The sequence below is a fragment of the Homo sapiens genome, chromosome 9 (genome assembly GCF_000001405.40).
Source record: "Homo sapiens chromosome 9, GRCh38.p14 Primary Assembly".
NCBI classification, from domain to species: domain Eukaryota; kingdom Metazoa; phylum Chordata; class Mammalia; order Primates; family Hominidae; genus Homo; species Homo sapiens.
The window spans coordinates 35694740-35717462 of record NC_000009.12 but is presented as its reverse complement, the minus strand read 5'-3'; the positions used below and the strand labels follow the sequence as shown (position 1 = coordinate 35717462).

The following is a 22723-nucleotide window of genomic DNA, read 5'->3' as shown; positions in this document are numbered from 1 at the left end:
CTGACATTCACTTTACCTACAGGTGGTGGCACCTACAATCAGCTCACCTGTCTGCCAAGAGCAACTGGTGGAGGCTGGACGACTGGTAGCCAAAGCCGTGGAGGGCTGTGTGTCTGCCTCCCAGGCAGCTACAGAGGATGGGCAACTGTTGCGAGGGGTAGGAGCAGCAGCCACAGCTGTCACCCAGGCCCTAAATGAGCTGCTGCAGCATGTGAAAGCCCATGCCACAGGGGCTGGGCCTGCTGGCCGTTATGACCAGGCTACTGACACCATCCTAACCGTCACTGAGAACATCTTTAGCTCCATGGGTGATGCTGGTAAGACACGCACCCCCAGGAAAACAAAAAACCCTACCAGGGTTCCCTAAGCCCACTGGACATCATCCCCTTGCGGACCTAACCACTTCACCCCAAGGAACTCAGCACAGTGTGGGCTTGCCAGCCACACAACCATAGGCTCATCATTAAAGCTCTCTGAACCCTCTGCTTCCCCTTCTGTAAAAGGAATATTAAGTCCTCTACCTTCCCTGGAGCATTTAAAGAATATACCAAAGTACGCACAAAAATATATAGAAAGTGACATGAAAGTGGTATAGCCTTCCCTACTATACCCCTGACCCCAAAAGTTTTCAGAGAGTGTCTCATCTTCTCAAGGCTACTGGCTGAAAATACCCATTGGAGACTGTCCTTCTCCCGTAAGAACCCACTGGAGAATCTTTTTCTCCAAGATCCTAAACCCAGAAAAAAAATAGCCCCAAAGAAATGATGCAAGAGCTTTTGCCAGTCTCTTTTTCTGTCCCTAAAGCCCCCATCTACCTTGTCTACACCACTTTTCCCCACCTTTGTCCCCACCCCTGACACCTCAGTGTCTCTGGCTTCCTCGCCTGACTGTGCCCTATGCTCTCAGGGGAGATGGTGCGACAGGCCCGCATCCTGGCCCAAGCCACATCTGACCTGGTCAATGCCATCAAGGCTGATGCTGAGGGGGAAAGTGATCTGGAGAACTCCCGCAAGCTCTTAAGTGCTGCCAAGATCCTAGCTGATGCCACAGCCAAGATGGTAGAGGCTGCCAAGGTACAAAGCCTTCTGTGCACACTCCCAGACTGGACCCTAGAGGGAAGTAGAGCAGTCCAGATGGTCACCCTCATCTGATGAGGGAGACCCAGGAAAAGCAGAAAACACAAGAGGACAAATATAGGAGCACTCAGGAAATGAATGAGCCCCAAGGCTGTGGGTGAGCCATGACCCAGGCTTTTTTTTTTTTTTTTTTTTTAAAGATGTGGTCTCACTGTGTTGCCCAGGCTGGTCTCAAACTCTTGGACTCAAGTGATCCTCCCACCTTGGCCTCCCGAAGTGTTAGGATTGCAGGCATGAGCCACCACACCTGGCCTAAAATTATTTTTTAATTGACATAATTTTACATATTCATGAGGTACATAGTGACATTTCAATACATGTATAGTAATCAGATCAGAGTAATTAACATATCCATCATTTATCCAAATATTTATCATTTCTTTGTGTTGGGAACATTCAGTATCCTCCCCCTAGCTATTTGGAACTATATAATAGTCTTAACTTTAGTCATCCTACAGTGGTGTAGAACGCTAGAACTTACTCCTATCTAGCTATAATTTTGTGTCCTTTAATAAATCTCTCCCATTCCTCTGTAGTAGGCAACCAGATCCTTTTTCTTTAAGTCCAAGGTCTTAAGTCCAAGGCCTATTTTTACCTTCTTTGCTGCTACCCTGCCTGGGATTCCTTTCCTTCCTGGTCTCCCCTGTGAATACACATAGGCATTCAGTCTCTGGGGCCTCTGCTGCCAGCAGGACACTGAGACACCAGCATGCAGAGAACCATCAGAAAGAAGCCCAGATGATTCCTAGGCCCCCTGGACTCTGGGGCTTTTCAGTTGGCAGGAGTAAGCAGGTCCCCTGCTTTGGTATTCCTGAGATGCCTGCTCTAAACTGAGTCCTCCTTTGTCCAGGAAGCCCTACTCACCTCACTCGTGTGGTATTCCCCAAGGAGGGGAAGACAAAACAATTCCACCTTAAGAAAGGATTTCAGCATCCAGTGGGAATCCTAGCCCCCTGAGGTTTCCCATTGACCTTCATGAGTCAGCTCCTCTCAAAGGTGATTGCCTTTTGGTGGGGCTAGTTAGAGATGACTTCAGGAAAATACATGAATTTTAAACTGAGTCTAGAGGAGTGAGAGAGGAGCTTCTTTAGGATCCACAGGAGAGCTGGGTGATGACTGTCTTTCCACCTCTCCCTCAGGGAGCAGCTGCCCACCCTGACAGTGAGGAGCAGCAGCAGCGGCTGCGGGAGGCAGCTGAGGGGCTGCGCATGGCCACCAATGCAGCTGCGCAGAATGCCATCAAGAAAAAGCTGGTGCAGCGCCTGGAGGTGAGGCTGGGAGTTTCACCAGGAGCAAGAGAGAGTGTGGGTGCTGTGGGAGGAATGAACTGAAAGGGAGGTGCGGAGAGTAAGTTAATACGTCCTTGAGGCATAACCTGGGCAAGGTAGGCCAGGGACTGGGCTGGGCATGGGAATCCATGGGCTTGGTCTGACTACTCTTGTCTTCACAGCATGCAGCCAAGCAGGCTGCAGCCTCAGCCACACAGACCATCGCTGCAGCTCAGCACGCAGCCTCTACCCCCAAGGCCTCTGCCGGCCCCCAGCCCCTGCTGGTGCAGAGCTGCAAGGTAAGACTCTAGGAAGGATGTGGGAGTGGAAGAGGGAGACTTGTGGGTCTCTTATGACATTTTCACCTACAGGCAGTGGCAGAGCAGATTCCACTGCTGGTGCAGGGCGTCCGAGGAAGCCAAGCCCAGCCTGACAGCCCCAGCGCTCAGCTTGCCCTCATTGCTGCCAGCCAGAGCTTCCTGCAGGCAAGGCACCCCCTCTGCACTTCTCTGACCTGACCTTCCCACCTTTCTAAGCTTCCATCTCCCACAGTTTGAATCTCTGCCAAGAGCCTCTTTCCCAATACCAAGCCCCAGTGTTCCCTACATCCTGACCATCATCAGTCCTTGTACCCAAGCCCAGAGGGAGGATGGCACACTTCATCCACCTGCCTATTCCCCAACAGCCAGGTGGGAAGATGGTGGCAGCTGCAAAGGCCTCAGTGCCAACGATTCAGGACCAGGCTTCAGCCATGCAGCTGAGTCAGTGTGCCAAGAACCTGGGCACCGCGCTGGCTGAACTCCGGACGGCTGCCCAGAAGGTATGGAAGCTGGTTCTGGCTTTGGAAGATGAGGCTGGAGTCCTGTGATGAGAGGAAATCTGTGCAGAATAACCCAATACGCAGATAATTGTGTAATCAGAGGCATTGGTGAGACACAGCAGGACCTTCTACACCCAAAACCCCTTTCTTATCATAGGCTCAGGAAGCATGTGGACCTTTGGAGATGGATTCTGCACTGAGTGTGGTACAGAATCTAGAGAAAGATCTACAGGAAGTGAAGGCAGCAGCTCGAGATGGCAAGCTTAAACCCTTACCTGGGGAGACAGTAAGTATGTTTAAGACCTCATTCTTACTCAAATCCTAAAGTCTTCCTTCACCTCCGTGCCCCAGAGCTGCTCAAAACCTTTCCTTCCTTCCTTTTTCTTTTTTCTCTTTCTCTCTTTTATTTTTCTTTTCTTTCTTCTTCCTTCCTTTTTTCTTTCTCTTTCTCTCTCCTTCCTTCTTTCTTCCTTCCTTTCTTTTCTTCCTTTCCTCTCCTCTTTCTTTTCTTTTCTCTTTTCTTTTCTTTTCCGTTCTTTTATTTCTTTTTCTTTCTTGATGGAGTCTCGCTCTGTCACCTAAACTGTAGTGCAGTTGTGCAATCTCAGCTCACTGCAACCTCTGCCTCCTGGGTTCAAGCCATTCTCCTGCCTCAGCCTCCTGAGTAGCTGGGATTACAGGCATGCACCACCACGCCTGGCTAATTTTTGTATTTTTAGTAGAGATGGGGTTTCGCCATGTTGCCCAGGCTGGTCTTGAACTCCTGACCTCAGGTGATCCACCTGCCTCAGCCTCCCAACGTGCTAGGATTATAGGTGGGAGCCATCGCACCCAGCCCAAAACATTTATTTAAATTGCCACCTGTCCCCAAGTACCTTCTCAGGTTCCTTCTCCTCACCTTCTCCTTTCTCAAGCCCAATTCTTCCCCCTTCATCCTTAGATGGAGAAGTGTACCCAGGACCTGGGCAACAGCACCAAAGCCGTGAGCTCAGCCATCGCCCAGCTACTGGGAGAGGTTGCCCAGGGCAATGAGAATTATGCAGGTATGTGGGCAGAGAGCCAGGCATGGGGCATATTGTGAGGGAGGTAGGAAAATGGGAGCTGGATGAGGGATGGGACTGACAGACGAAACCACTGGAATCAGGGCCTGGCAATGAAAGCACCTTCCCTTCCCTCTTTCTCCTCATCTCCCAAGGTATTGCAGCTCGGGATGTGGCAGGTGGGCTGCGGTCACTGGCCCAGGCCGCTAGGGGAGTCGCTGCACTGACGTCAGATCCTGCAGTGCAGGCCATTGTACTTGATACGGCCAGTGATGTGCTGGACAAGGCCAGCAGCCTCATTGAGGAGGCGAAAAAGGCAGCTGGCCATCCAGGGGACCCTGAGAGCCAGCAGCGGCTTGCCCAGGTCAGATACTGGGAAAGGGCCACTCCCTCTCCCCCAGGTTCCTTCATAAGGCCCACCCTGATTGAGGCCAAAGCTTCTGAGCCTCGTCCACACTCACAGAGTGATGTCTTCTTGGGTCTGCTCTTGACAGCCCCTCTGTGGATTCCACCCTTATGTTCTCTTAGTCTTTTTTTTTTTTTTTTTTTTGAGACAGAGTTTTGCTCTTACTGCCCAGGCTGGAGTGCAATGGCGCAATTTCGGCTCAGTGCAGTCTCCGCCTCCTGGGTTCAAGTGATTCTCCTGCCTCAGACTCCCTAGTAGCTGGGACTACAGGCATGCGCCACCACACCCAGCTAATTTTTGAATTTTGTTTTAGTAGAGACAGGGCTTCACCATGTTGGCCAGGATGGTCTCGATCTCTTGACCTCGTGATCTGCCCCCCTCGGCCTCCCATAGTGCTGGGATTACAGGCGTGAGCCACTGTGCCCGGCCCTCTTGGTCTTGTAGAAGTGTCTCAGTTGGATTCAGTCATGGGCTGAGCTAAACACCAAGTTTGGGGAAGTTTAATTACTGTCACTTGAAACCCTAACCTCAGCCTGTTCACCTACAACGCCCCCTTTCTTTTTTCACTTTCAGAGGCAGTAGAGCTAGTCATCTCCCATGTCGCGTGAATGGAGGCGATCTCTCAAATTCTTTTCACTTGGGCAACCCTGTCTCCTTTCTCACCCCAGGTGGCTAAAGCAGTGACCCAGGCTCTGAACCGCTGTGTCAGCTGCCTACCTGGCCAGCGCGATGTGGATAATGCCCTGAGGGCAGTTGGAGATGCCAGCAAGCGACTCCTGAGTGACTCGGTAGGAGGACGGTAGGGGGTGGGGGAACGTAGGAGTCAAAGAATGCCAGGCCTCTCCTTCCTCCCTCTCGGTTGTCCTTTGACCCTGACTTCCCAGATCTGTCCCCTTTCATTACTCCCAGGCTATGTGCCCACCTTTTCAGCCCTCCTTTACCAGACTTCTCCCTGCATCATTCCCCACTCTTCTGTCTGACTTCCCCTCTCACCTTGCAGCTTCCTCCTAGCACTGGGACATTTCAAGAAGCTCAGAGCCGGTTGAATGAAGCTGCTGCTGGGCTGAATCAGGCAGCCACAGAACTGGTGCAGGCCTCTCGGGGAACCCCTCAGGACCTGGCTCGAGCCTCAGGCCGATTTGGACAGGACTTCAGCACCTTCCTGGAAGCTGGTGTGGAGATGGCAGGCCAGGCTCCGGTATGAAGAGGCAGAGGGTCTGGTTGAATGGTTCCCACTAAGGGTTAGATAGGAGGCAGTTGAGTGACCAGTCCTGACTTGCTCCTGGCTCCCTTCCCTCCCCAGTCTCTAGCACTACTTGAGTGTCTGGGAAAGAAGATCCCTTTTAGAGACAGATAAGAAAGGACAGGACAATGCATTGACCTTGTCACCTTCAACAGAGCCAGGAGGACCGAGCCCAAGTTGTGTCCAACTTGAAGGGCATCTCCATGTCTTCAAGCAAACTTCTTCTGGCTGCCAAGGCCCTGTCCACGGACCCTGCTGCCCCTAACCTCAAGAGTCAGCTGGCTGCAGCTGCCAGGTAAGTAGTTGCTGAGAAGCCCAGCCCTGGACTGTGTGAGAGAGACTGGGGAGCAGGCAGTTCATGAGAGCTTCTTGGCTTAGGAATGGTTATAGGCAAAAGATAAATACTTACATAGGACCCAGGAATGATGACCTATTCACCTTTTCACTCAACTTTCTGTCACTCCCAGGGCAGTAACTGACAGCATCAATCAGCTCATCACTATGTGCACCCAGCAGGCACCCGGCCAGAAGGAGTGTGATAACGCCCTGCGGGAATTGGAGGTAGACACATGGCAGGCTGATGGCATTGAGGTTGAGGGAAGTGTTCTGGTTTTGGGCCTGAGGGAGGTGTCTTGGATCTCACTTTGCCCTCCCCCTACACAGACGGTCCGGGAACTCCTGGAGAACCCAGTCCAGCCCATCAATGACATGTCCTACTTTGGTTGCCTGGACAGTGTAATGGAGAACTCAAAGGTCAGCACAGCCAGGAACTCGGAGGAGAGAGGGCAGTAGGATGGAGCTAACCAGATGCTGCCCTGGGGTTCTGAGGACATGCTCTGACTCCCCTGATGTCCTCTGTTCCTCAGGTGCTGGGCGAGGCCATGACTGGCATCTCCCAAAATGCCAAGAACGGAAACCTGCCAGAGTTTGGAGATGCCATTTCCACAGCCTCAAAGGCACTTTGTGGCTTCACCGAGGCAGCTGCACAGGTTATTTTCCTGAGATGGGTTCTTTGAATGGCCCCTACTTTCTTTACCCCATTTTCTCTCAGCCTGACATACCTGTAGATAAATCAAGAAGTTTATGTTTGCAAAGCCAACTCTATGGAATCTGGGTTGTCCTCCTCCTGAAGTGGAGACACTTGTCAGCAATTACTGAACACCAGCAGTTCTGATTTCTGTAATTCCTGAACCCTGGTACTTTGGTTAGGATTACACTGCCCAACCGTGAGGCCTTTTCCAGCTGGCTTTCTCAAAATATACTAATTAGCTTATACAAACTATTTTTTCATGTTATTACTACTTTCTTTTTTTTTTTTTTTTTTTTTGAGACAGCGTTTCGCTCTGTCGCCCAGGCTGAAGTGCAATGGCGTGATCTAGGCTCACTGCAAGCTCCGCCTCCCGGGTTCACGCTAGTCTCCTGCCTCAGCCTTCCAAGTAGCTGGGACTACAGGCGCTCACCACCACACCCGGCTAATTTTTTGTATTTTTTTTTTTTTTTTTAGTAAAGACAGGGTTTCACCATGTTAGCCAGGATGGTCTCGATATCCTGACTCGTGATCCACCTGCCTCGGCCTCCCAAAGTGCTGGAATTACAGGCGTGAGCCACCGCGCCTGGCCTGTAATCACTACTTTCTTTTTTTTTTTTTTTTTTTTTTTTTTTTGAGACCGAGTTTCGCTCTGTCGCCCAGGCTGGAGTGCAGTGGCGCGATCTAGACTCACTGCAAGCTCCGCCTCCCGGGTTCACGCCATTCTCCTGCCTCAGCCTCCCGTGTAGCTGGGACTACAGGCGCGCGCCACCATGCCCGGCTAATTTTTGTATTTTTAGTAGAGACGGGGTTTCACCGTGTTAGCCAGGATGGTCTCGATCTCCTGACCTCGTGATCCGCCCGTCTCGACCTCCCAAAGTGCTGGGATTACAGGCGTGAGCCACCGCGCCCGGCCAATCACTACTTTCTTAAAATAGTACTAGTGACAAAATTTCCAGTTACTTGAGTTATCACTTAACTTTGCCTTTTCCCACATTATCAAGTATAAAACTACCTATTAGCTGTAAAGTATTTTGCTTTAGTATATGAATCCTTAAAACAAACTGGCATCATAAGAGTTCACTTCAGACTATTTTCCCTGAAAGCCTACCATCCTAGCCCTCCATCTCCACCACCTCCCTGTGCCCTGTCAGAATAGGCGCCTTGCTCTAGATGGCTTGTTTGATTTTGTTTTTTTGTTTTTTTGGTTTTTTGTTTGTTTGTTTTTTGAGACGGAGTCTCGCTCTGTCGCCAGGCTGGAGTGCAGAGGCATAATCTCGGCTCACTGCAACCTCCGCCTCCCGGGTTCAAGTGATTCTCCTACCTCAGCCTCCCGAGTAGCTGGGACTACAGGCGCCTGCCACCACACCCGTCTGATTTTTGTATTTTTAGTAGAGACAGGGTTTCACTAAACCTCTTTGTTGTTTGTTTGGTTTTTTTCCCCCCACCTTCTGAAAATGCATAGAGGAAAAAGCAAAGCTACTGTGTATTGATTGAAGTATGAATCAAACATTAGGATGTTCTTTCCATCATAAAAATGGCTTTTTAACCCCTCCCTTCCTTTCCAAATATCTGACGCATGGAGGTGCTATAAATGTGAATTAGCCTAATAACCTTCATCAGTTTTGAACTGTCTTTAAAAGAGGCTTTGCTTGTGTGCACAAAGGTGTGTATTTATATATGGCTCTCAAACGTTTTACTGCTACTTACAGTAAGCCATACTTTTCACTCTAAGACCCAACATACACAAACATATCTAAATAGAGATTGGATAAAAACCCTTGCTATGTAGTTTTCCTTTTTATTAACTTTTTTAATCTTCTGAAATGCTTGAATATACTTAATGAAAACAGGAGAGTATTTTTTTTCTTCTTTATAGTGTAACCATTGTTTGCTAATGTATCTCCACTCATGGAGAACTCTGGAAAATAAGCCCTATTCTCTAAACTTACCTCTGCTCTCTTTTGTCCCTACTATCACTATTCATTTCCCACCTGCAATCTTTATTCCTCACCCCCACCCCCTTTTCTCTTCCCAGGCTGCATATCTGGTTGGTGTCTCTGACCCCAATAGCCAAGCTGGACAGCAAGGGCTAGTGGAGCCCACACAGTTTGCCCGTGCAAACCAGGCAATTCAGATGGCCTGCCAGAGTTTGGGAGAGCCTGGCTGTACCCAGGCCCAGGTAACTCAAGGGAACAGGGACCACAGGCGAGTCTGGGAAAGGGCAGACCGACCCCGTGGAGTAGAGGGAGGTGAGGCATGTGGGAAAGAGGGCAGGGACCCATCTCTGACCTTGCACACACAGCTTCTTTTTGGGTAACTGTCTTTTTCTGCCATGGGTCTCATCATTTATCAGTTACTGCTAAATTCACAACTTCTCTGTAGATGTTCGAGCTTACTCTCCCACATGCCCTCTTATGGTTTCTCCATTAGTATGTCTTTCCTCTCCCATGCCCAGTTCATCTTTGGGTATCTCTGTCTCCTAGATCTTGACTTTTCAGGTGACTCTGTTATTCCTGTTTTGACTCCTCAGGGTATTGCTCTCCATCCCCTGACCCTAAAATGGCTCCTCCTTGGGTATGTACACCTCCTTCCTGCCCTCATCGTGGCTCTTCCATGTGTCTCCTCAGGTGCTCTCTGCAGCCACCATTGTGGCTAAACACACCTCTGCACTGTGTAACAGCTGTCGCCTGGCTTCTGCCCGTACCACCAATCCTACTGCCAAGCGCCAGTTTGTACAGTCAGCCAAGGAGGTGGCCAACAGCACAGCTAATCTTGTCAAGACCATCAAGGTTCCCATTGCTTGAATTCCCAGCCTCTCCCTGACCTGTCCTATCTTCTCCCCCGAGTCCCCCAGTTATTCTCTGAAGCCTTCTACCAAATCCCCTCTGCCTGAGCCCAAGCTCTTTCTATTCAGACTGACCACCTAGCCTCTCCCCAAATCCTGTAAGTCCCAGGAAGGAGACCTGGACTTCACTTCCTATACCCCCTATGACTGCATCCCAAGTCCTGAGAGCCTCTCTGTCACTTCTAGGCGCTAGATGGGGCCTTCACAGAGGAGAACCGTGCCCAGTGCCGAGCAGCAACAGCCCCTCTGCTGGAGGCTGTGGACAATCTGAGTGCCTTTGCGTCCAACCCTGAGTTCTCCAGCATTCCTGCCCAGATCAGCCCTGAGGTGAGGCGATGTGAAGGGGGAACTGATGGGCCAGCTTATCACCTCATCTTCCAGGGACTCCTGAGACTTACCTTCCTGCCTCCCCTCTCCCCAGGGTCGGGCTGCCATGGAGCCCATTGTGATCTCTGCCAAGACAATGTTAGAGAGTGCCGGGGGACTCATCCAGACAGCCCGGGCCCTCGCAGTCAATCCCCGGGACCCCCCGAGCTGGTCGGTGCTGGCCGGCCACTCCCGTACTGTCTCAGACTCCATCAAGAAGCTAATTACAAGCATGAGGTATTGAGGGATGGGGAACCAGTGTGGCTGGGGGGCATACATTGTGGCAGAATGGAGGATGGGCACTTGAGTGCAATGAGATGGGATGGTGTTGGGAGGATACAGGGGAAGGATAGGCTGGCCTTGCAGTAGGGGATGTTCTTGGTGTTGGAGCCCATGATGTGTCTGCAGGGACAAGGCTCCAGGGCAGCTGGAGTGTGAAACGGCCATTGCAGCTCTGAACAGTTGTCTACGGGACCTAGACCAGGCTTCCCTCGCTGCAGTCAGCCAGCAGCTTGCTCCCCGTGAGGGAATCTCTCAAGAGGTGAGAGGGAGAGGGTTATATGGAAAGATGTGTCTAGGAAGAGAAATATCAGACTCAAAGAAGCTGGGGGATCAAGGAGTGGCTTCTTAGGGACATCAAAGGCTGGGATGTGCGAAGGAGGGTTAGGGTATTTGGTATGGACAGAAGAGCAGTTCTTTGTAGCCAGAGGGTCCTATTGCAGGTCACCATCAGGGCTAATGTCCACTTCCTCCCCAGGCCTTGCACACTCAGATGCTCACTGCAGTCCAAGAGATCTCCCATCTCATTGAGCCGCTGGCCAATGCTGCCCGGGCTGAAGCCTCCCAGCTGGGACACAAGGTACCTATGGAGACTCATGGGAAGTCCCAGGGAGTAGGGTGAGAGAGAGGGGACCTGACCCCTAGTCCAACCCCTTGCCTCAGGTGTCCCAGATGGCGCAGTACTTTGAGCCGCTCACCCTGGCTGCAGTGGGTGCTGCCTCCAAGACCCTGAGCCACCCGCAGCAGATGGCACTCCTGGACCAGACTAAAACATTGGCAGAGTCTGCCCTGCAGTTGCTATACACTGCCAAGGAGGCTGGTGGTAACCCAAAGGTATTGAGGGTTGGGAGGGAGGAGCTGTTACTAGCAGGAGGCTGGAGAAACAGGAACAACAGAGCTCCTCTCCTCTCCCCACAGCAAGCAGCTCACACCCAGGAAGCCCTGGAGGAGGCTGTGCAGATGATGACCGAGGCCGTAGAGGACCTGACAACAACCCTCAACGAGGCAGCCAGTGCTGCTGGGGTCGTGGGTGGCATGGTGGACTCCATCACCCAGGCCATCAACCAGGTTAGAGTCTTGGGGTGCCTTTGGACACTGAGGCTACCCTGGGCCAGAGCCTCCAAGCACAGTGGCAGAGACCCTAACAGTCTTTCCCTTTCCCTATCCTCCCCCCTCAGCTAGATGAAGGACCAATGGGTGAACCAGAAGGTTCCTTCGTGGATTACCAAACAACTATGGTGCGGACAGCCAAGGCCATTGCAGTGACCGTTCAGGAGATGGTGAGTTTGGGCGAGTCCCAGAGGACTGCCCTCGGAGAGCTGACTTTGGATATAACTTCACTCGTTCCATTATCACCAGGTTACCAAGTCAAACACCAGCCCAGAGGAGCTGGGCCCTCTTGCTAACCAGCTGACCAGTGACTATGGCCGTCTGGCCTCGGAGGCCAAGCCTGCAGCGGTGGCTGCTGAAAATGAAGAGGTAAACGTGGAGGCAACTCTGCCCTGCCCCCTGCCCCTTGTTCCTGATGTGTCAGTGTCTAGGGCTGTCCCACCCCCACCCTCTCTGGTCTTTCATAGAAAGGGGAACAGCCTCAGGGCCACTCTGCTGAAGACTAGTGAGGCTCTGGGTAGGGACAGAGGATCAAAGCCTTCAGTCACAGGTACAAAGGAAACAGCTCAGAATCTGGAGCCTTCCCGGGCCTGCCTTTCTGGCTTCTGCCGACCCTCATCTGGGCCTACAGCTGCTTCTCTGTTGTGCTGCCAGTCCATGTTCTTGTTCTTTCTTGTTGCAAACTCATGAAGCTCTTCCTTACCTAAGCCTCTAGCTTTCCAAGAAAGCAAGTAATTGGATCTTAGCAGGACACATGTAATGCCCATCCTTAAAACCCTCCATAACCCCATACAGGCCACATGGTAATCCACGGCCCTCTGATTCCCACATTCAAGCATAAAGTGCTCCTCCCCTTCTCCCCACTGTGCTTAACACAATCCTCACCACTTAGTGCCTGCGTGCTACTATTTTCTGTGTGTAGGAGGTGACCTTCTGCCTAAAGGATATGCAACCGGAAACGTCCTTGTGCTGGGAACCTTCTCTCTCTGCTTCTTTAGTCTACAATGCATGTTTTTTTCTATGTCCTTAGTGACTTTTCCAAGCACAGTGAAGGTACCCTGAGTGCCCCTTGTAAAATCCATCTGTCTTTCCCTTGGCTCACAGATAGGTTCCCATATCAAACACCGGGTACAGGAGCTGGGCCATGGCTGTGCCGCTCTGGTCACCAAGGCAGGCGCCCTGCAGTGCAGCCCCAGTGATGCCTACACCAAGAAGGAGCTCATAGAGTGTGCCCGGAGAGTCTCTGAGAAGGTGACGGTGCTCATCCCTGCAGATGGTGGGACTGCCTCCAAACTCTGTAGCCTTTGCCATCCTCCTCCAGCCCTCTCAGCCCTCTCCTGTTGTCACTTCTCCCAGGCATGGGCAACCTTTCCATTTCACATGGCACCTTCCACAGTCACCATGTGACATTCCCTACCCAGGTCTCCCACGTCCTGGCTGCGCTCCAGGCTGGGAATCGTGGCACCCAGGCCTGCATCACAGCAGCCAGCGCTGTGTCTGGTATCATTGCTGACCTCGACACCACCATCATGTTCGCCACTGCTGGCACGCTCAATCGTGAGGGTACTGAAACTTTCGCTGACCACCGGTAAGACAGGAACTGGGCCTAAGGGAGGCAGACAGGTCGGGGCACGGGGCTGGAAGAGGCAGGATAGCATTCGCTGGAATGGGGAAGACCTGGACCAGGCACCTTGGACGGGCTGGAGCGGGTAGGGGAGATCTGACTAAGCTGGGCCCTCCCTCAGGGAGGGCATCCTGAAGACTGCGAAGGTGCTGGTGGAGGACACCAAGGTCCTGGTGCAAAACGCAGCTGGGAGCCAGGAGAAGTTGGCGCAGGCTGCCCAGTCCTCCGTGGCGACCATCACCCGCCTCGCTGATGTGGTCAAGCTGGGTGCAGCCAGCCTGGGAGCTGAGGACCCTGAGACCCAGGTAGTGACCTGATGCCCCTAATTCCGGCTGGAATCACTTCCTGTCCCGCTTCTTCCTCCCATAGACCAGAGCCAACGCTTTCCCACACAGGTGGTACTAATCAACGCAGTGAAAGATGTAGCCAAAGCCCTGGGAGACCTCATCAGTGCAACGAAGGCTGCAGCTGGCAAAGTTGGAGATGACCCTGCTGTGTGGCAGCTAAAGAACTCTGCCAAGGTTGGAGAGAATGAGAGCAACATCAGGAGGGGCACTGGATTAACATACTTCCTCCTGTTCCTTAAAATCATTCCTCTTCACTCCTCTGATACCTCCAGGTGATGGTGACCAATGTGACATCATTGCTTAAGACAGTAAAAGCCGTGGAAGATGAGGCCACCAAAGGCACTCGGGCCCTGGAGGCAACCACAGAACACATACGGCAGGAGCTGGCGGTGAGTGAGAGTCTGGGGCATCAGTGACTAGGGTCAGAGAGAGGGATCCTGAAAGCCTGTGAACCTGTGCCACACATATACTCACAGCTGGAGTCACACACAGTCTTCTCTCTCATCTATCGCCAGACTTTTTTTTTGAGAAGGGTCTTGCTCTGTAGCCATCCTCCTCCAGCCTTCTCAGCCCTCTCCTCTTGTCATTTCTCCCAGGTGTGGGTGACCTTTCCATTTCACATGGCATCTTCCTCAGTCACCATGTGACTTCCCCTACCCCAGCTCTCCCACACCCTCCTTCTGGAGTGCAGTGGCGTGATCTCAGCTCACTACAACCTCCACCTCCCAGGTTCAAGTGCTTCTCATGCCTCAGCCTCCTGAGTCACTGGGAATACAGGTGCATACCATGCTGGCTAGTTTTTGTATTTTTAGTAGAGATGGGGTTTCACCATGTTGACCAGGCTGGTCTCGAACTCCTGGCCTCAAGTGATCCACCCGCCTTGGCCTCCCAAAGTGCTGGGATTACACTCATGAGCCACTGTGCCAGTGAGCTACATTCATGTCTGTCCCCTACCCACTTGTTTATTCCTTAGCATGTGACAACTGTATTTTTTCACCACCCTCCCACTTTCTCCAGTCACTAGTGGCCTCTTCTTAGTTGCTACATTCAGTGGCCACTTCTTGGCCTTCATCCTCTTTGAATATTTCGAAAGCATCTGACTGTGTTAACAAGCCTCTCTTTGAAATTCTTTCTTCTGCTGGGCATGGTGGCTCACGCCAGCACTTTGGGAGGCCAGCGGGTGTAATCCCAGCACTTTGGGAGGCTGAGGCGGGTGGATCACAAGGTCGGGAGTTCGAGACCAGCCTGGCCAATATGGTGAAACCCCGTCTCTACTAAAAATACAAAAATTAGCTGGGCGTGGTGGCACGCGCCTGTAGTCCCAGCTGCTTGGGAGGCTAAGGCAGGAGAATCGCTGGAACCCGGGAGGCAGAGGTTGCAGTGAGCCAAGATGGCGCCACTGCACTCCAGCCTGGGCAACAGAGTGAGACTCCATCTCAAAAAAAAACAAAAAAGAAAAAAAATGAAATTCTTTCTTCCCTTGGCCTAGATACTGGCTTTTCTCTTGTTTCTCGAACGTCATTGAATCACCTTTAACTTAGTAAATGTGGAGGCCTTCCCAGGGTTGTACAAATAGTCTTCCTTCTCTCTTCTCTTCTTTGGCAAGTTTAACCACTTTCATTATTATTCTGTAAGAAGCAGACATCCAGTTCTGAGTTGAGTTATTTTCAACTGCCTGTTTGACATCACCACCTAGATGCAGTGCCTCCGAACCATGACATGGTCCTCCTAATGGTGGGAACACCCTTGCAGTCATGAAGATTCCACCTCAGTCATCTTTGACTTCACCATCTTAGCCACCATATCCAGGCTGTTGCCACGTCCTTTCATTCCTCCTCCCTGGTTCCCTGTCCGCACTCTGGTTCACACTTCCATACTCTCCCGCAATTTGGCTGTGGCACCAGTTTTCTCCCTGGTCTCCCTGCTTCTGGTCCCTGCCACTCTCCTCTCTCCCTACTCATCTTTCTAATTTCTAAATGCATCTTTCTAAGGTTCTGTTTTCACTTTTACTTGAAGATGTCCAAGTTGGAACTCTTGACTTTCTGCCTCCCATACCTGGTCCTTTCCTGGTCTTCCCCCATCTCAGTAAATGGCACCTCTTAGTAACTCAGTTCCTAAAGCCAGAAACCTAGCTTCAATATATTAGACTTCTCTCTTTCTCTCATTCCCCACATCTAAGTTTTGCTAGTGCCCCTTCCAAATACAGCTCATTTTTTCTTTTTATCTCCTACCACTACCACACTGTCCAAACCATCATCAGTCCTTAACTGGATTTATGCAGTAGTCTCTATCCAGTCACCATGCTTCAACACTTGCCCCCTCCAATCCTCCTTTGTACACAGTAGCTAAAATTATGTTTTTAAAATATAAATTAGAGTCTGGACATGCTGGCTGATGCCTGTAAAATCCCAGCGCTTTGGAAGACTGAGATGGGAGGATCACTTGAGTGAGTTCAAGACTAGTCTGGACAACATAGCAAGATCCTGTCTCTACAAAAAATTTAAAGATTAGCTGGGCAAGGTGGCCCATGCCTGTCCCAGTTACTCATGAGTCTGAAGGCAGGAGGATCCCTTGAGCCCAGGGGTTCAAGTCTGCAGTGAACTATGATCACTCCAGTGCACTCCAGCCTGGGTGACAGAGCAAGAAATATATATATATTAGATTATGTCACTTCACTACTTAAAACCCATTAGTGATGGCTCTGCTTGCTTCTCCAGTCTCATCCTACTCTCTTCCTTTCTGTGCCCCATCCCCCTGCACCATCAGTTCTGAGAACATGCCAAGCTCTTATCTGCTGCAGGCTCTTCCACTCAGTTCTCTCCAGCTTTTTGAACACTGTGCTCCTTCCAGTTCATCAGGCTTCAGCCTCAATGTCACCTCCTCAGAGAGCCCTTCCCTGACCACCTATTTGAAGTAGTTCTCATCACAGCACTGTCTCTATTCTCTCATAATCCAAATCACAGTCCTCAGTTTTGCTGCTTGTTTATTTATTTATTACCTGTGTCCAAAACCAGAATGTAAGCTCCATGAGAACAGGGAGCATCCCTAGCCCCTTGCATAGAATCTGCCACCTAGCTGATCTTTAATAAATGTTTGCAGATTGAACCCGTACATCAAAATATTTTATGACTTTCACATATTATGTAAAAGTCCAAGTTCCTCGGTGTGATATTCAAGTCCCCAATAACCTTTTCTTCACCATTCCTATATTCCAGAACATTCCTTGATACTTTCCGATGTGACATCTTGGTTGTTCATGTCCTACCATTTACCTAAAATGCCCTCCTATCATCTGTATATCTTTTATGGCCTAGCTCTGCCTCTCACCCCTTCAAGGCTTCTCTCTATTTTGGGAATGAAAACCCAGCCAAAAGCCACTTTTGTAATTACTTTTGTGATTTCAAACAAACAAACAAACTCCCCAGTTGCTTCAGTCAGAAACAATAACCAACTGCCTTGTTACATTCACTGTGATGTGTGAATGTCTGCACCAAATCACATGCACACAGAGTTCTACGCTGTCTCATAGTCTCAGCCACTGTAAAATCTTTCTTCTTCTTCTGCCCCCACAGGTTTTCTGTTCCCCAGAGCCACCTGCCAAGACCTCTACCCCAGAAGACTTCATCCGAATGACCAAGGGTATCACCATGGCAACCGCCAAGGCCGTTGCTGCTGGCAATTCCTGTCGCCAGGAAGATGTCATTGCCACAGCCAATCTGAGCCGCCGTGCTATTGCAGATATGCTTCGGGCTTGCAAGGTAGAAATCCTTGAGGCATTTCCGTGAGGCAGCTTTGGGCCAGAACATAGTGGGAGAGAAACTGTAGGGATCTGCGGGGCCTAAAGCTAACATATTACTCTGGGGACAGGAAGCAGCTTACCACCCAGAAGTGGCCCCTGATGTGCGGCTTCGAGCCCTGCACTATGGCCGGGAGTGTGCCAATGGCTACCTGGAACTGCTGGACCATGTACTGCTGGTAAGGGAGGGCGTTGCTTGTTCCTCATACCAGCCTCCCTGAATACACAGCCCTCTTCCTGCAGGCCTCGCACCCTGCTGTCTGTTTTGCTCAGATCTCCTCCCTACCCCACCCTCTACTTCCCAAATCTGTTCTCCTTTCCAAGTCTCCCTTTCTCCCAGGCCCCATCCTTCTTATCATCTTTGGTTCTCCCAGTCACCTCTTCCTCTTCCTCTTTTTCTTTTCTCCTCCCTTCCCACCTGACCACCCCCTTCTCTACTTTCGTCGTCTCCTCTTTCATCTCATCATTCTCCTTGCTCCTTGTCAGCCGGTGAGTGACACAGCCCCACTGTCTCTATCACGTGTGAGGTGTGATGCATGATGTGTACTTGGATAGGCAGCGTGGAGTTTGAGGGCTATGGTGTGGAGTGCTCTAGGGATAGGGGTGAGGGGGCCATGGTCTGCCCTATTTCATAGATCAGGGTAGACCCTAAGATGTGATGCTCTTTGTCCCCTGCCCGCTTCTTGCCCAGACCCTGCAGAAGCCAAGCCCAGAACTGAAGCAGCAGTTGACAGGACATTCAAAGCGTGTGGCTGGTTCCGTCACTGAGCTCATCCAGGCTGCTGAAGCCATGAAGGGTGAGGGGTGACCAGGGACAGGGACGGATGGAAAACCCTTATCATGGTGTGATCTCTGCTTCCTGGCTGGACAGCTCTGTGCTAGCCTCTGACCATAGTCCCCACAGATGCCAGGGCCTGATGATACTAACCATGCTCCCTGGTGCTTTTGACCTCCCCACTCTGCCTTAGCCTCTTTCCTCTTCCTTCATCCCACCAGGAACAGAATGGGTAGACCCAGAGGACCCCACAGTCATTGCTGAGAATGAGCTCCTGGGAGCTGCAGCCGCCATTGAGGCTGCAGCCAAAAAGCTAGAGCAGCTGAAGCCCCGGGCCAAACCCAAGGTCAGTCCTGCTCCCTTCCTCTTCCACCCTCACCATGGCAGTGTCCCCACCTTCATCTCTGACTTTACATCTCTTTCTGCAACCTTCGCTTATTGCAGGAGGCAGATGAGTCCTTGAACTTTGAGGAGCAGATACTAGAAGCTGCCAAGTCCATTGCAGCAGCCACCAGTGCACTGGTAAAGGCTGCGTCGGCTGCCCAGAGAGAACTAGTGGCCCAAGGGAAGGTGAGTGCTTAAATACCCAGAAGAATGGGGACAGGTTGGCACTTTGATGTCCACATCCACATCCATAGCCAGCGAGTCTTTGAAGTGAGGAAAATGCAGGTCTAAGTAGGCTCTTCTCCTTCCTACAGGTGGGTGCCATTCCAGCCAATGCACTGGACGATGGGCAGTGGTCCCAGGGCCTCATTTCTGCTGTAAGTGTGCAATACCACTAGGTCTCTCTCAGTTTGAGAGACTTGAGAAGGCTGGAGTGGGGATGGACCAGGGCAAGGGGCATATTTTTAAGCAAACTCTCCCTGCTTTAGGCCCGGATGGTGGCTGCGGCCACCAACAATCTGTGTGAGGCAGCCAATGCAGCTGTACAAGGCCATGCCAGCCAGGAGAAGCTCATCTCATCAGCCAAGCAGGTAGCTGCCTCCACAGCCCAGCTCCTTGTGGCCTGCAAGGTCAAGGCTGACCAGGACTCGGAGGCAATGAAACGACTTCAGGTGAGAACCCTGACCCATCCCATTGTCCCTTGGGCTATACTGCTTCAAACTGTCACTCCCGAGATGTATGTTTCTATGAGAGAATTGAGGTACTGTCTCAACTGGGACCGTACCTGAGTTCTCAACCTAGGCCACTTTCTCTCTGCCCAGGCTGCTGGCAACGCAGTGAAGCGAGCCTCAGATAATCTGGTGAAAGCAGCACAGAAGGCTGCAGCCTTTGAAGAGCAGGAGAATGAGACAGTGGTGGTGAAAGAGAAGATGGTTGGCGGCATTGCCCAGGTGAGCTTCACCCCAGATGCTGAGGGACGCTGTCAGGAGGGCAGTCATGTTGCCTGCGCTGGTCCCAACTACCCTATGCCCCTGCTGTGCATCCTCACTGAACTAAGTCCCCGATCTCCACCCTCAGATCATCGCAGCACAGGAAGAAATGCTTCGGAAGGAACGAGAGCTGGAAGAGGCGCGGAAGAAACTGGCCCAGATCCGGCAGCAGCAGTACAAGTTTCTGCCTTCAGAGCTTCGAGATGAGCACTAAAGAAGCCTCTTCTATTTAATGCAGACCCGGCCCAGAGACTGTGCGTGCCACTACCAAAGCCTTCTGGGCTGTCGGGGCCCAACCTGCCCAACCCCAGCACTCCCCAAAGTGCCTGCCAAACCCCAGGGCCTGGCCCCGCCCAGTCCCGCAGTACATCCCCTGTCCCCTCCCCAACCCCAAGTGCCTTCATGCCCTAGGGCCCCCCAAGTGCCTGCCCCTCCCCAGAGTATTAACGCTCCAAGAGTATTATTAACGCTGCTGTACCTCGATCTGAATCTGCCGGGGCCCCAGCCCACTCCACCCTGCCAGCAGCTTCCGGCCAGTCCCCACAGCCTCATCAGCTCTCTTCACCGTTTTTTGATACTATCTTCCCCCACCCCCAGCTACCCATAGGGGCTGCAGAGTTATAAGCCCCAAACAGGTCATGCTCCAATAAAAATGATTCTACCTACAACCTCTGCCTGGCTTCAAGGGAGATACAAGTTTTCTCCCAGGGCAGTAGGAGAGACAGTGGGGTTGAATTCTGTCACCCAGCTTGATCCAGCTTGAAATGGGAGAGGGGAAGACTGGCAGTCTGCACCTGAGGTCCCTTCCTCCTTGCACCCGGACCCTAAAGTTATCCAATGGGGAAGTTGTGCCTGAGAAGTCATACTCCTGTTATCCTCACCTCCCTGGCCAGCACCTAAGCCTCACAAAGTGTCGTTCTGCTGCTGCTGGGACAGCAGCTACCACAGTTCCTTGTGGCTACCAGGACATTCTGTTCTTCATAGCTACTCAGGGTATGTCAACAAATCCAGTCCTTGACCAAATTCAAATTTTCAAAAGAAGCTTTGCTAAAAATAATATGCCTGTAAGTGTCTGAGCCTAAGAGAACTATGGCCACAAAACTGATTGAAGCCATTAGCAAGCAGAAAAATCCCAACTTGAGGCTGCCTCGGGTAGGCACCGCTCTTGATTGGGTTGGGACACTCCTGCCTAGGGTAGCGCTAAAAGTGAAGAGCTTGACCCAGGTGTGAGAATTTATTGTTAGAGGGGGCAGAGCTCCCCTAGTGGCCAGGAAGGTGCTAGCAGCCCTGTTCCAGCCACCCTGCTTATCTGGTGGGTCAGTGGAAAGAGGCAGTCAGAGAGGTGGATGCTGTGTGCTTCCACGTCCCCATCCAGCCACTCTGTCCATAATGCATGGACTCTCTGACAGTCGTCTTAGGTTGGCAACTATTTTCATGCGTGATTCTTTAGTCAGCCCTACCGCCCAGTACATTATTTCCTCAAGTAGAACACAAACGCCACCCATCTGCTACTAACACCTTCTACTCCCACCACATTAGGGAAAGCTTGAAGTAGATGGAATGTAGCTGGTAACGGTGGTTCGAGCCTCTAATCCCAGCTACTTAAAAGGCTGAGGCAGGAGGACTGCTTGAGACCAGGAGTTCAAGGCTGCAGTGAGCTATGATGGTGCCACTGTGCACCAGCCTGGGTGACGGAGTGAGAGCCCTTCTCTAAGAAAGTAGATGGAACTCTAGGACAGCCCATTAGGGATGGTGCCAACCTCCTACCATCACTCCTATCACCTGTGATTCATTCATTCAATATTTACTAAGCCATGCTTGTGCTAAGCACTGGAAAATTGAGATGTATTATCACTTCTCTGACGCAGAGGACTGGCAACTCCAGTACATACTGTGGGGGCTCCCTAATCCCAGATTCAATGTCATAGTATCAGTTGAGGACCTTGGAGATCAAATCCCTTCTATAACCTCCCCGACAAGTGGCAGTCTAGACTTTGAACTCCAGCTAGGAGCCCAGGACAGCTGCTTACTCCTGTTACCATTTCCTTGTCATGTCCTCAGGAACTGGGACCAATCACATACTTCTCACTAGTGATACCTTGGGAGCCATCTGGGGAGAGGCTTTAAAACCTATTAAACCAGCAGCTCTTCAAATGTGGTCCTCAGACCCCTAGGGTTCCCTAAGACCTTTTCAGGGGTCCATAGGTCAAAATTATTTTCATAAAAATACCAAGACATTATTTTCCTTAGCTGGGGATGGTGGTGCACACCTGTAATTCCCAGCTACTTGGGAGGCTGAGGCACCAGAATTGCTTGAACCTGTGATGCGGAGGTTGCAGTGAGCCAAGATCACGCCACTGCACTCCAGCCTGGGCAACAGAGCAAGACTCAAAAAAAATGTCCTTGATGAAGTAAAAAAAAAAAATTTTTTTTTTTTTTTGAGACGGAGTCTCGGTCTGTAGCCCAGGCTGGAGTGTAGTGGCGTGATCTCGGCTCACTGCAACCTCCACCTCCTGTGTCCCGGTTCAAGCAATTCTCCTGCCTCAGCCTCCCGAGAAGCTGGGATTACAGGCACATGCCATCATGCCCAGCTAATTTTTGTATTTTTAGTAGAGACAGGGTTTCACCATGTTGGCCAGACTGGTCTTGAACTCCTGACCTCATGATCTGCCTGCCTCAGGCTCCCAAAGTGCTGGGATTACAGGCGTGAGCCACCACGCCCAGCCTAAATGTATTAATTTAATTAAACCTTAATCCTTAAGGAAAAGGCTTTTCAACATTCTGTCTGATAAAGTGGGAAGTATGCATAAGACATTTTGCATACCAAAGTATGATGGTTTTCTGGAGGAAATAACTTAGGCCATTCTTTGAGTTGTGAGCTGAACTAGCTGCTCTTTTATGGAATGCCACGTTTACTCAAAAGAATGGCCGACAAACTGTGGTTATCAGATTTAGGTAGCTGGCAGAACTTTTCTAAAAAGGAACAAAGTGAGTCTGTCACTTCAGGGAAAAATCTGACAGTGTTTGTTGCCAATGATATAATTCAAGCTTTCAAGTGAAAAATCGAATTTTGGAACACTTGTATTTGCTACATGAGCTTCACAGCTTCCCAAAATTTAAAACTTAAAGACTTTACTGTTCTCCAGTATAATACTATGAAGAAAAACAAAGACTTTACTGTTGAAACCTATTGTGATTTTTTTAAAATTTATTTATTTATTTATTTATTTATTTTTGAGACAGAGTCTCGCTCTGTTCCCCAGGC

The 22723-nt window shown here is 50.9% G+C and overlaps 1 protein-coding gene and 1 non-coding gene across 2 annotated transcripts in view, besides 3 other annotated features; both read left to right on the top strand.

The window, feature by feature from the left end:
- Window positions 1-20515, top strand: part of TLN1 (talin 1) — a 35248-nt gene extending 14733 nt beyond the window's left edge. The window contains exons 19-57 of the mRNA NM_006289.4: window positions 23-317; window positions 907-1073; window positions 2276-2404; window positions 2587-2703; window positions 2776-2889; window positions 3090-3224; window positions 3382-3510; window positions 4165-4267; window positions 4420-4628; window positions 5339-5458; window positions 5671-5868; window positions 6069-6208; window positions 6381-6474; window positions 6577-6666; window positions 6780-6902; window positions 8979-9122; window positions 9571-9732; window positions 9975-10115; window positions 10210-10391; window positions 10563-10695; window positions 10912-11013; window positions 11097-11267; window positions 11352-11501; window positions 11612-11713; window positions 11793-11912; window positions 12648-12794; window positions 12965-13131; window positions 13289-13472; window positions 13563-13688; window positions 13787-13903; window positions 17087-17272; window positions 17382-17489; window positions 18002-18107; window positions 18307-18431; window positions 18530-18655; window positions 18784-18846; window positions 18958-19140; window positions 19291-19419; window positions 19547-20515. Of these exons, the coding sequence (NP_006280.3) occupies window positions 23-317; window positions 907-1073; window positions 2276-2404; window positions 2587-2703; window positions 2776-2889; window positions 3090-3224; window positions 3382-3510; window positions 4165-4267; window positions 4420-4628; window positions 5339-5458; window positions 5671-5868; window positions 6069-6208; window positions 6381-6474; window positions 6577-6666; window positions 6780-6902; window positions 8979-9122; window positions 9571-9732; window positions 9975-10115; window positions 10210-10391; window positions 10563-10695; window positions 10912-11013; window positions 11097-11267; window positions 11352-11501; window positions 11612-11713; window positions 11793-11912; window positions 12648-12794; window positions 12965-13131; window positions 13289-13472; window positions 13563-13688; window positions 13787-13903; window positions 17087-17272; window positions 17382-17489; window positions 18002-18107; window positions 18307-18431; window positions 18530-18655; window positions 18784-18846; window positions 18958-19140; window positions 19291-19419; window positions 19547-19672 (5463 nt within the window). The 3' untranslated portion in view covers window positions 19673-20515. The remainder of the gene's footprint in view (window positions 1-22; window positions 318-906; window positions 1074-2275; window positions 2405-2586; window positions 2704-2775; window positions 2890-3089; window positions 3225-3381; window positions 3511-4164; window positions 4268-4419; window positions 4629-5338; window positions 5459-5670; window positions 5869-6068; window positions 6209-6380; window positions 6475-6576; window positions 6667-6779; window positions 6903-8978; window positions 9123-9570; window positions 9733-9974; window positions 10116-10209; window positions 10392-10562; window positions 10696-10911; window positions 11014-11096; window positions 11268-11351; window positions 11502-11611; window positions 11714-11792; window positions 11913-12647; window positions 12795-12964; window positions 13132-13288; window positions 13473-13562; window positions 13689-13786; window positions 13904-17086; window positions 17273-17381; window positions 17490-18001; window positions 18108-18306; window positions 18432-18529; window positions 18656-18783; window positions 18847-18957; window positions 19141-19290; window positions 19420-19546) is intronic.
- Window positions 1852-2756: an enhancer, noted in NCBI's record as "H3K27ac-H3K4me1 hESC enhancer chr9:35714704-35715608 (GRCh37/hg19 assembly coordinates)". NCBI's record gives its function as "activates a minimal SCP1, AML or CMV promoter by ChIP-STARR-seq in naive H9 embryonic stem cells {active_cell/tissue: H9 hESC(naive)}" and the evidence as "EXISTENCE:reporter gene assay evidence [ECO:0000049][PMID:30033119]".
- Window positions 5342-5391: an enhancer, noted in NCBI's record as "active region_28332". NCBI's record gives its function as "activates an Ori minimal core promoter by ATAC-STARR-seq in GM12878 lymphoblastoid cells {active_cell/tissue: GM12878}" and the evidence as "EXISTENCE:reporter gene assay evidence [ECO:0000049][PMID:35858748]".
- Window positions 5483-6682: an enhancer, noted in NCBI's record as "BRD4-independent group 4 enhancer chr9:35710778-35711977 (GRCh37/hg19 assembly coordinates)". NCBI's record gives its function as "activates an origin of replication core promoter dependent on BRD2, P300/CBP, MED14 and CDK7 cofactors, and independent of BRD4, by STARR-seq in HCT116 cells {active_cell/tissue: HCT116}" and the evidence as "EXISTENCE:reporter gene assay evidence [ECO:0000049][PMID:35650434]".
- Window positions 6722-6787, top strand: MIR6852 (microRNA 6852). Its single transcript, NR_106911.1, has one exon. It is a non-coding gene; the product is annotated as a microRNA 6852 (primary transcript).